The sequence below is a fragment of the Homo sapiens genome, chromosome 17 (genome assembly GCF_000001405.40).
Source record: "Homo sapiens chromosome 17, GRCh38.p14 Primary Assembly".
Lineage (NCBI taxonomy): Eukaryota > Metazoa > Chordata > Mammalia > Primates > Hominidae > Homo > Homo sapiens.
The window spans coordinates 10,381,411-10,393,426 of NC_000017.11; the positions used below are offsets into that span (position 1 = coordinate 10,381,411).

Sequence of the window (12,016 nt, forward strand, 5' to 3'; positions counted from 1 at the left end):
AACCACTGACAGTGGCAGAGGGCTTTGGGAGCCAAGTCAATGTCTCCAATGTTGTTCATGTCTTTGATGCTGCTGTCTGGTGAGGCCCACCAGCTGCCAAAGCCTGTCCACTGTCTTTTTAGTCCTCTCATTCTACCCAGTATATGTAGCCAATTTTCTGTGTAGATTCATTCCTCCCCACATAGCAGTAAAACAAAACAGGGAAGATAGGAGCCTGGATATCTGAAAGTAGGTGACCAACCATGCCAATTTGTTTGGGGCTAAGGGAGTTCTTGAAACTTTCCATTTTAAAACCAGGACTGTCTTGGGCAAGTGGTGGTAAATTCATCACTATACCTGATAGGTTGTTGGAGGGTATCATGGCAAAGTCCTCAAAATATCTACCTAAATTTTGGTTTAAATCTTTTCACATTTTTTCCATGTTTTTATGTATTCTTTTTTGTTTGTTTGTTTGAGACGGAGTCTCACTCTGTCACTATGCTGGAGTGCAATGGCACGATCTCGGCTCACTGCAACCTCCTGACAAGACAAGCCTGACCAAGACAAGGATAGATGGAATCAGTTTGAGATCTTCTAGAATGATCCAAGCTACAATGATGATGAAATTCCCACCTGGAACTGTTAATTGCAAAACTGTAATACATACATAGGGCTTAGCAGAGAGCTAGCAACATGGTAAACATGCATTCATTCATTCAACATTCGTTGAAACCTTACCATATGCTGGGAGGATTTTAAGTACTGGAGAACAAAATAGATAAAGTCACAAACAGATATATCAATTAAAGATAAATGCTCTGAAGGAAAGAAAAGCAGGATAAGGAAACAGTGGCTGTGTGGGGAAGTTTCTCTGAAGAGGTGATATTTGAGCAGACACCTAGTGAAGTGAATGAGTAAGCCATGAAAATATCAAAGGGCGACAGTATTTCAGGCAGAGGAAACAAATGCAAACGCTCTGGGAGATGGTGGGCCAGTGGGGCAGAGTGAACCAGTAGTAGGGAATGTAGTGGCAGAGGTAGGCAAGAGCCAGATGGTTTAGAGCCTTGGAAATTAAGGTAAGGACTTCGGGTTTCAAATGTCAGCTGTTGTTATAAAGGCTGTTTTTTTCCTCCTTTTTCTGTGTTGAGTGTTGGATCTGTTAACTGCTCTTTTTCTACTCAATATTGGTTCATTCTGTCCAACAAAATTTATTGAATGTCTGCTCTTCATTCAACAGAAGGCTAATGAAGACATTTTTTCGGGAACTGAAGAGAAAGTTTGTTTTCTCAACAACTATGATCTAGTTGTGGGGGGGAGGGAGTGGGTCAAAGTGCTGATAATGCGTCAAAAGACGGCAGCAGTGCGCCGAGCGCGGTGGCTCACGCCTGTAATCCAGCAGTTTGGGAGGCCGAGGCGGCGGATCACCTGAGGTCGAGAGTTCGAGACCAGCCGACCAACATGGAGAAACGCCAAGTCTCTACTAAAAATACAAAAATTAGCCGGGCGTGGTGGCGCATGCTTGTAATCGCGGAGGTTGCGGTGAGTCGAGATCGAGCCATTGCACCCCAGCCCGGGCAATAAGAGCGAAACTGTCTCAAAAAAAAAAAAAAAAAAAAAAAGACAGCCACAGTGTGCTTTGAAGGAGACACCCTGGCACTACAGGAGAGAAACGATGTTTTCAATTGTCCAGAGAGGAGGGGAGTCACTTCCGGTGCGTCCCAGGGCATCATGGGAAGGGTCAGTCTGTGGGAAGGAAAGGCCAGAAGTGACTCCTGCCGTAGCTGCGGCAGGCCTGGAGGCCGTACTGGGACCTGGCCAGTAAGTGTGCATTTAAGAGTTTGCGAGTGAGCAGGACCTTGTTCGTCCCCGCGATTTATTTGTGCTGTGTAATTCCAGACAGTAGATCCGTGAAGGACTGTGTGGTGGGGAGGGTATGAAATTGAGTGTGGAGAGGGCATTTGAGGGCAAGTCCCATGACTGACTGGGCCAGACAGAAAATTTAAAATTCTTGTCAACAAAGCCCGTTTGAAAATTTTCAGTGCATACATAGCCATATTATTATGTTGTACATGTGGTACACATAAATATTCCTGTTTTTTTTTTTTTTTTTTTTTGAGACGGAGTAGCACTCTTGTCGCCAGGCTGGAGTGCTGTGGCGTGATCTGGGTTCACTGCAACCTCCACCTCCCGGGTTCAAGTGATTCTCCTGCCTCAGCCTCCTGAGTAGCTGGGATTACAGGCACCCGCCACCACGCCTGGCTAATTTTTGTACTTTTAGTAGAGACGGGGTTTCGCCATGTTGGCCAGGCTGGTCTCAAACTCCTGACCTCAGGTGATCCGCCCGCCTCGGCCTCCCAAAGTGCTGGGATTACAGGCATGAGCCACCGCACCCGGCTACACATATATTCTTATATAAAGTCAGGTTCAGATACTCAAATCCGTGGGTACCAATTGAATTATTTTTCCAAATAGTGGAAAAAGTGATGATTTTGTTGCTCAGAAGGTACTACCTTTCCCATCCATGTTTTAAACATAATTTCTCATACTTTGAGCCTTCACACTGCGCAGTACCTCAGTTTCCCCAGGAAAGCCACAAGCCATAGTTTCTGTGAGGAGCTGAGAAGATAGTTTGCCCTCTTGTGAAGGTCAGCCTATTGGAATCTAAGAGAAGCCCTGTTTTGGGTGTGTTCCCCAAGGGAGATGTTTTTCTCCTTCACCATGGAGAGGCTTTCTTTTTTCTTGCGGCCTCCGGAAGCGGCATCTTAGTGGCCCTTGGAACTAGGAGGGAGGAATCAGGCTGGCAAATTCTATCCTTAAGCAAGGTTCTTTCCATCTGCCCACGGCTGATTCTTCAGCTTCTCGCTTTGGAAAATGTGACCGATGGAGTCTGCGATGACGGTTCCTAGGGACACCGATATGTGGAACATGTGCCCAAACCTCTGCCACAGCCAGGAGGCAGAATTTAAGTTTGCTTACTGACAGCTGCTGTGTGTCAGTCCTGGAATGTTAATCCTTACAGAGAGCTTGGATGACAGGCAACAGCTTTTAGCAGCTGTGCTAATGATCTCATCCATCAAACGACCCTCTCTTCACCTTACTGTTGTCAGTTATATCCACGTCTTTGATGAGAAGTGGATATGAAATCTTAAGAGGCAGGTTACTTTTATTTATTTTAAAAACATGAGCCTTTAAAAGAATTCCAAAAATAGTACACACATTGAAAAACATAATCAAACATACTGAAGGAAAATTTTAAATCTTGCCTAAAATTTTAGCATAGAAGTCATCTCTACCTAAATTTTGGTTTAAATCCTTTCACATTTTTTTCCATGTTTTTATGTATCCTTTTTTCTTTCTTTTTTTTTTTTTTTTTTGAGGCGGAGTCTCATTCTGTTGCTAGGCTGGAGTGCAGTGGTGCGATCTTGGCTCACTACAACCTCCGCCTCCTGGGTTCAAGTGTTTCTCCTGCCTCAGCCTCCCCTGTACCTGGGACTACAGGCGAGTGCCACCATGCCCAGCTAATTTTAATATTTTTTAGTAGAAACGGGGTTTTACCATGTTGGCCAGGATGGTATCCAGCTCCTTTTTTTTTTTTTTTTTTTAGATGGAGTCTCGCTCTGTCGCCAGCCTGGAATGCAGTGGTGCGATCTCGGCTCACTGCAACCTCTGCCTCCCAGATTCAAGTGATTCTCCTGCCTCAGCCTCTGGAGCAGCTGGGACTGCAGGTGTGTCACCATGCCCAGCTAATTTTTGTATTTTTAGTAGAGATGGGGTTTCACCATGTTGGCCAGGATGGTCTCGATCTCTTGACCTCATGATCCGCCCACCTTGGCTTCCCAAGGTGCTGGGATTACAGGCATGTGCCACCACGCCTGGCCAATTTTTATGTATTCTTAAACACATACACAATTGAGATATCAGTCTGCAAGCACTGTTTTGTATTCTGCTTTTAGAACACATTTTAAAATTTTCTCATGATATTAACTATTCTTTTAGATTATGATTTTTAATAGTTACGTAGTGTACCATGCTTTGAAGATAACATAATTTATATAACAAATTTTCTATTATTGGGCATTTAGGGTGCTCTAAGTTTCTGTTCTTTAAAATATTCTGCTAAGTATATATGTGTACATAAATGCTTATGCATATCTTTAATTGTTAAATCTATAGAATAGACTTTCTGGGCAAAGGCTAAAGATAGTTTTCAGTTTGCAACAGTGGAGTCCCTGTTATTGGAGCCTTCACAATAATGATATTGCATAGGAAAACAAAAAGTATTCACTAACGATCTTGTTGATCATTATGTATTGTAAATATGCAATAATCAATTTAAGTTGAATGCAAAGTAAAATGAGAAATCTTGGAACAGTTGCAGAATTTAGTGAAGTCAGTGAAAGTAGTAAAAAAAATTGGCTTGAGTTTTGCAAAGCCATTGACCAGCGTGCATTCAGCAGTGTTGAACTAGTTAACAATTGAAGAACTGAAAATGGACAAAAATGATGACCCAATAGATGTTTCCCGAGAATGAATTCAGGATCAAAGGATTAGGAAGGCTCTTAAAAATATTGATGAAGTCATGCATTTTTGTGAAAAAGGATGTATTTTATTATTGCATTGCAAAACTTAAAGGATGTCATATTATGTTATCACATATGACTGTGAGAAATCTGTCCCTTTTGTCCCAACTGCAACATTTACTCATTCTTTGTTCTAAGAATAGCAGAGTTGCAATTATGATCTAAATCTTAAGAAATGCAACAGAAGGCTGGGCACCGTGGCTCACGCCCGTAATCCCAACACTTTGGGAGGCCGAGGCAGGCAGATCACGAGGTCAAGAGATTGAGACCATCCTGGCCAATATGGTAAAACCTTGTCTCTACTAAAAATACAAAAATTAGCTGGGCATGGTGGCACGTGCCTGTAATCCCAGCTGCGCAGGAGGCTGAGGCAGGAGAATCACTTGAACCTGGGAGGTGGAGTTTGCAGTGAGCCACTGCTCTCCAGCCTGGTGACACAGTAAGACTCCGTCTCAAACAAAAACAACAACAACAACAACAACAAAAAACAAAAACAGAAAAAAAGAGAAAATCAATTGTTTCTCTGTATGTTAGCAGTGAACATGTAGACAGCAAAATTAGAAATATAATGCCATTTACAGTCACTTAAAAAAAGAAAGAAGTTAGACAGGCCGGGAACGGTGGCTCACGGCTGTAATCCGAGAACTTTGGGAGGCCAAGGTGGGCGGATCATGAGGTCAGGAGTTTGAGACCAACCTGACCAACGTGGTGAAACCCTGCCTCTACTAAAAATACAAAAATTAGCCAGACATGGTGGTGCACGCCTGTAATCCCAGCTACTCAGGAGGCTGAGGCAGGAGAATGGCTTGAACCCGGGAGGTGGAGGTTGCAGTGAGCTGAGATTGTGCCACTGCACTCCAGTCTGGGCAACAGAGTGAGACTCCGTCTCAAAAAAAAAAAAAAAAAAAAAAAGTTTGACATAGATCTAACAAAATTTATATATGGCTTGTATGCTGAAAACTACCAAACACTGATGAAAGAAATAAAAGAAGATCTAATTAAATGAAACAGACTGTAGTTAAGAATTGGAAGATTCAACATAGTAAATATGTCAACAAACTGATAAACAGGCTTCATGCAATTTCTGTGAAAAAGTATAGCTCTGGCTTTAAAGTTTGGCATATAGTATTCTAATTACTAATTATCTTCCCAGAGTACTGTAATTGTGATATTTCCCCTAATGCAGAATTTTAAATTTATGGAGGTATAATTGACATTTAAAAGTGCACATATTAAAAGTGCACAGTTTGATAGGTTTTTACATACATAGATGCCTGTGAAACCATCATCTCAATCAAGATAATGAACATGTTCATGGACCCCCCTCCCAAATTTCCTCCTGCTCCCTTGTAATCCCCTCCACCCTTTCTTTGTGCCCCCTACAAACCCTCCCTCTGCATCACTAGCCAACTGCTGGTCCACTTTCTATCACTGTAGTTTTCATTTTCTAGAATTTTATATAAATAGAATAATATAGTATGTACTTTTTGGAGGGGCTGCTGCTTTCAATCAACGTAATTATCTTGAGATTCACCCTTTTTAGTGTTAATGGTTTCTTTTGATAGCTGAGTAGTATTTCATTGTATGGATATACCATAATTTGTTACCCATTCATTTGTTGATGGATATTTTGGTTTTTCTTTTTGGTTTTTGCCCCTATTACAAATAAATGTGCCATAAACATTTGTGTACAAGTCTTCATGTGGACATACGCTTTCATTTCTCTTTGGTAAATACCTAGGAATAGAATGGCTAGATCATATAGATAATTTGTTAACTTTTAAAGAAGTTGCCAAACTGTTTTCATAAGTCATTGTAACATTTTACATTATGACTCTTGGCCAACACTTTGGTCTTTTAGTCATTGTAGTAAGTGTGTTGTGGTATCTTACTGTGTTTTAATTGATATTTTTCTCATGATTCATGATGTTGAATGATTTTCAGATGCCTTTTTATCATCTGTATGTTTAGTGAAATGTTTGTCTAAACCTTTTGCCTTTTAAAGTATTATGTTGTTACCTTTTCCCTGGATTTTTAGATTTGTTTATATATTCTGAATATAAATCTTTCATCAGGGATATAAGTTGTAAATACTTTCAATCTGTGGCTTGTCTTTTCATTCTCTCTATAACAGTGTTTTTCAAAGAGCAGAAGCTTTACATTTTGATGATGTACAATTGATCAATTTTTTCTTTTGTGGCCTGTGTCTTTGGTGTCATATCTAAGACATCTTTGCCTAAGCTGAGGTCACAAAGATTTTTTCTTTTGTTTCTTTCTACATGTTCTTATGATTGTAGTTTTGATTTCCTCTTTGATCCAAAATTTTGTTTTTTGGAGATTATTTAACTTTTTTTTTCTCTTTTTTGTTTTAAACTTTTGTTATTAACTTAGACACATTTGAGATTGCGGTCTACACAATTTATAATGAAAAGATTGAGGGTGATAGGGGTTTAGAGGTTGGGGGAGAGTAAATGTTAGAAGGTAGAGGAAGGAGTGAATAAAGTACAGTCTTTGTCTAGATTTCATTTTTGTTCTGCTGCTTCCTCTCTTTCTGGAGGTTCTACTCCATCAAGCCTTTTTTTGGTCTTATTTTCTGTCCCTCTTTTATAAGTTCATTCTTTCACTTTGTCTCTCATCCAATCTCTCTGACAATCCTATGTATGCTAGCTACCTTCAATAAATCTGGAATCCATCTACTTCTCTTTGTCTCCCGTTGTTATTTTTCTGCCCTAAGCCACTGTCATGGTTTTTATTGTTGTTGTTGTTGTTAGTTTTTTTGTTTTTTTTTTTTTTTGAGACAGGGTCTCACTCTGTCTCCCAGGCTGGAGTGCAGTGGTGCGATCTTGGTTTATTGCAGCCTTGACTTCCCGGGCTCAGGTGATTCTCCCACCTTAGCCTCCCTCGTAGCTGGGACTACAGGCATGTGCCACTATGCCCTGCTAATTTTTTTCTTTTTTTCTATTTTTAGTAGAGATGGGGTTTTGCTATGTTGCCTAGGCTGGTCTCGAACTCTCGGGCTCAAGTGATCTGCCCACCTCGACCTCCCAAAGTGTTGGGATTCCAGGTGTGAGCCACCGCGCCCAACTGCCACTGTCATCTTTTAACCTTTATTTTTCAGTAGGCTCCTAACTAGTTTCCCAGTGTCCATCTTTGCTCCCTTAGTTTATTCTCAACACAGCAGCCAGAGTGATTCTTTTAAAATGTTTGTTAATATCACCCTGCTCAAAACCCTCCAAAGCTTTCCCACTTCACTCTGAGTAAAGGCAAAAGTCCTTAGAGTGGCCAAGGGGCCCTACATGATCTGGTCTCTCAGTTCCTCTCTTATGCCTTAACTGTCTCATCTTGCTCAGTCTCTTCCTGCCCTGCTTGACCTCCTCCCTGCCCCCCTAACATTCCCTACCTGCCCTTGCCTTAGGGCCTTTGCATTTTCTGTTTTCTCTGCCTGGACGTGCTGTGCGCCCATATACTCACTTGGCTTACCCTCTTGCCTCCTTCAGGTCACTGCTCAAGTGTCTTCTTACCAGAGATGCCTTCCTTGACTACTGTCTATAAAATAGTAAATGCGGCCGGGCGCGGTGGCTCACGCCTGTAATCCCAGCACTTTGGGAGGCCAAGGCGGGTGGATCACGAGGTCAGGAGATCGAGACCATCCTGGCTGAGACGGTGAAACCCCGTCTCTACTAAAAATACAAAAAATTAGCCGGGCGTGGTGGCAGGCACCTGTAGTCCCAGCTACTCCGGAGGCCGAGGCAGGAGAATGGCGTGAACCCGGGAGGCGGAGCTTGCAGTGAGCCGAGATCGCGCCACTGCACTCCAGCCTGGGCGACTGAGTGAGACTCTGTCTCGGAAAAAAAAAAATAGTAAATGCTTCCCTCCTACTTTCTAATTTCCCATTAGTACTTATAATCTGGCTCATTACATAGTTATGAATTTATTTATTGCTTTTCTTTCGTTGTGGAATATAAGCTTCTAGAGAGCAGAAACTATATTTTGTTCACACAAAACTTAAATAGTGGCTGGCACTATTTATTGATTTATTATATTGATGCACATAGTAGATGCTCAATATCGTTTGTGGAGTAAATGAATGGGCCCATACAGAGGGCAGCCTCAGGGAGTGTTTTTCTTAGTAATTTGTAACAATCTAGAGAGATATAATAAAAACAAGCTCAGCAAAAGATATTTGTGTGTGTGTTGGTGGGGGGTGAAGAGGTGGGAAAGGGACTGTTGGGTGGTGCTGAAGGTATAAAATATTGAATGCTCTGCAAAGCCATATATAATATTAAGATATTAATAGCTAGGTGAGAACTGTGAGCATGAATAGCTTTGCAAGTGAAAAAATGAAAGTCCGGTTTAATGTATACATTTACTGTAGTTTTTATTTATTCAGCTTTAACAGGAAAATAAACGTCATAAAGCAAGTGACCAAAAATAGCACATTTTGTGCCTTTCTTCAGCCTCTTGATAGCATCAGGCAGGTGTGTTTACTCTGCACTGATTTTTGTGTGAACCTCTCGGCTCTTCACTCGCAATTTGTTGACCTGGGACTCAGCAATGTCAGCCCGTTCCTCGGCCTCCTCCAGCTCATGCTGGAGTTTGCGGAATTTAGATAGATTAGCATTGGATTGTTCCTCCTAAGAATAGAGATAAAATTGTGAGAATTAGACTGTGTGGTTCTCATTGCACTTATCACCAGACAGGATTAGTTCCTCAAATCAGGTATTTCCTTCTTATGGTCTATTTAGCATATCCGACTTTAAATCTAAACAGAGTTTATAACTTCAACTACAATTTTTACTTTAAAGAATGAAAGGAGAGTTTTGAAGTGGAGGAGACAGCCTCATATAAAGCCCATACATCCTTTTATGATTTATGTTCTGTGTGGAAAGGAGGAAGAGACCTATGTACACTTATAGACATCAGTAAGTAAATGTAAGGCCAAATTATAATTGGGGAAATACCACTTAATATATATTTTGATTCTAGTATATAAAGAAAGGGAAAAGATGGGACTAGACAGAAAGTCTCCTCTGTTAATTGACTCATTGCCATTTATGCCTCTCCCTTTTTTCTTTCCTTTTCTTCCTATTTACTTCCTACCTATCACATGTGTCTGGAAGAGTGGAGGGATAACCAGGAAGGGTATAGGTACAGAATCTTCTAACATGTTCTTATATTAGCTACAGCAAATGTGGGGGCAAGAGCCCCCACTGATGACACTAGTGGTGAGTGAAGAAGTCAGGTGGGGTAAAAGATTGATGTTTGGCTTTTGAGAACTTGATTTTTTCTATGTCTAGAGGGAGAGGAATATTTATGATGGTATTAATTAGAATTTCTACTGTATATCATTTGTAGCTATCAAGTAAGTGAGCTGTTTAGAACTTGCCCCCCTCAACCCTTACAAATTGCTTAATAATAAAAATATCTCGGCTGGGCGTGGTGGCTCATGCCTGTAATCCCAGCACTTTGGGAGGCCGAGGTGGGTGGATCACTTGAGGCCAGGAGTTTGAGACCAGCCTGGCCAACACGGTGAAGCCCTGTCTGTACTAAAAATACAAAAACCAGCCAGGTGTGGTGGTGCATGCCTGTTGTCCCAGCTACTGGAGAGGCTGAGGCATAAGAATCACTTGAGCTTGGGAGGCAGAGGTTGCAGTGAGCCAAGATCACACCACTGCACTCCAACCTGGGTGACACAGCGAGGCTCTGTGTCAAAATAAATAAATAAATAAATCTTTTGAAGTCTTATTCTGTAATTTGGATTTGGCGGGACAAATTCATATTTATAAAATCATCCCTCTTAAAATGAGTGGTAGATTTTCACTTTGTCTTCTTCCTTATTGACGCATTCTCTTAAAACACTTTCTACTGCAAAAGAAATTTCCTTCTTTCCTCAAGGGCTTAAAGATACTTACAGCCTCCTCAGCTTGTCTCTTGTATGATTTCACCTTCGCCTGTAATTTATCTACCAAGTCCTGCAGCCTGAGAACATTCTTGCGATCTTCTTCAGTCTGAAAGTTTGAAAAAAATAATCTGCATTCATTCCGAAGAGATAAGGCTACTCTGGGTACTAAAATAAAATCATTTGGCATGATGGCAGGTGGGCCTGGGGTAAACTTGATCAACTCTGAGATTTTCTTCATAGAATTAACAGTAGCACTCTTGGTAAATGTTTCCACTGTGCAGGTACTGTATTAGAGAATTGCACACATCCTCTCCAGTCCTTACCTCCCCATCCGGGAAAATAGACACTGTTATCTCTATTTTACAGGTGAAGAAACTGAGGTTTAGAGTGTTAAGTTCAAGAAGCAAGAGAGGCCAAACTAGGACTAATACCCAGTTAATCTGCCTTTAAAATCTGTGTTCTTTACTGTCATGCTATTTTCTAAACTTTAGAAATCTGAAGGCCTCCCTAAGTTTTAGTATAGGTCTGTGATAAGCAACTGTCTTTACTCCTTACATGTACCAAGTTAATGCGTATTTGTTTGTGAGTGGCATATAAATAAATAGTCATAAGGTTTTCAATTTCCTTCTGGGCAGGAAGAGTGGATATTCTGGAAGGCTATTCCCTTTACCTGGTAGGTGAGTTCTTTTACTCGTCGCTCATGTTTCCGTAAACCTTTAACAGCCTCTGCATTACGTTTCTGTTCATTTTCAACCTCTCCTTCAAGCTCACGTACCTGCAGCCAAGAAAAATACTTACGCAGTCAGTCTTGGGGGATATTAATTAGCCCAAGACCTACTGAAGGCATGGGGTGGGTGTTCCCAGCCCCAGGACAGGATGGGAGTCTTGTGTAGGAAGAGAGAAGGGTAGAGAGAGTGCCCTTTTTCCCTTCCCAGATTTAGAGAGATTGAGACACCCACCCTGGCCTCCAGTTTCTGGATCTGCTTCTTCCCACCCTTCAGCGCCAGCTGCTCGGCCTCATCTAGACGATGCTGCAGGTCCTTCACCGTCTGCTCCAGGTTCTTCTTCATCCGCTCCAGGTGGGCGCTGGTGTCCTGTTCCTTCTTCAGCTCCTCAGCCATCATGGCAGCCTATTTAGGAAATAAATTAAGAAAGTAATGAAACTTGATGATAGCAGGTGCATACGTGTCAGTAGGCCAAATGTTCATCTTACATCAGTGATGGCCTTCTTGGCTTTCTCTTCTGCATTGCGTGATTCTTGGATTACTTCTTCCACTTCACTTTGGAGTTGGGAAACGTCATTTTCTAATTTCTTCTTGGTGTTAATGAGACTGGTATTCTGTTAAAAGTAGTCGTGGAAATTTACAAAATTTGCAGTTTGCCCTCTTGGGATTTTACAAGTGTCTTACTTGTTGGTTCGTGCAGGGGATCTGCTGGCAACATTTCACTAAACTTTAATTATTTGTTCAGTGGAAAATGTTAATTATTTGCAAGGTAGGAACTCCTTTCCCCCAACTTCCCCAGTGTCCACCTGATTTATGCATAAGGACTTCTG

The 12,016-nt window shown here is 41.5% G+C and overlaps 1 protein-coding gene and 1 long non-coding RNA gene across 2 annotated transcripts in view, besides 1 other annotated feature; one reads left to right on the plus strand and one right to left on the minus strand.

The window, feature by feature from the left end:
- Positions 1-1,721: 1,721 nt before the first annotated feature.
- MYHAS (myosin heavy chain gene cluster antisense RNA) overlaps positions 1,722-12,016 on the plus strand; it is a 242,409-nt gene continuing 232,114 nt past the window's right edge. Inside the window, exon 1 of the long non-coding RNA NR_125367.1 lies at positions 1,722-1,797. This is a non-coding gene — a long non-coding RNA (myosin heavy chain gene cluster antisense RNA). The remainder of the gene's footprint in view (positions 1,798-12,016) is intronic.
- The window catches only part of MYH8 (myosin heavy chain 8), a 31,629-nt gene continuing 28,524 nt past the window's right edge, over positions 8,912-12,016 (minus strand). Inside the window, exons 36-40 of the mRNA NM_002472.3 lie at positions 11,675-11,800; positions 11,421-11,591; positions 11,132-11,236; positions 10,472-10,567; positions 8,912-9,193 (exon numbers count right to left, since the gene is read on the minus strand). Of these exons, the coding sequence (NP_002463.2) occupies positions 9,044-9,193; positions 10,472-10,567; positions 11,132-11,236; positions 11,421-11,591; positions 11,675-11,800 (648 nt within the window). The 3' untranslated portion in view covers positions 8,912-9,043. The remainder of the gene's footprint in view (positions 9,194-10,471; positions 10,568-11,131; positions 11,237-11,420; positions 11,592-11,674; positions 11,801-12,016) is intronic.
- Positions 10,548-11,747: an enhancer, noted in NCBI's record as "BRD4-independent group 4 enhancer chr17:10295275-10296474 (GRCh37/hg19 assembly coordinates)". NCBI's record gives its function as "activates an origin of replication core promoter dependent on BRD2, P300/CBP, MED14 and CDK7 cofactors, and independent of BRD4, by STARR-seq in HCT116 cells {active_cell/tissue: HCT116}" and the evidence as "EXISTENCE:reporter gene assay evidence [ECO:0000049][PMID:35650434]".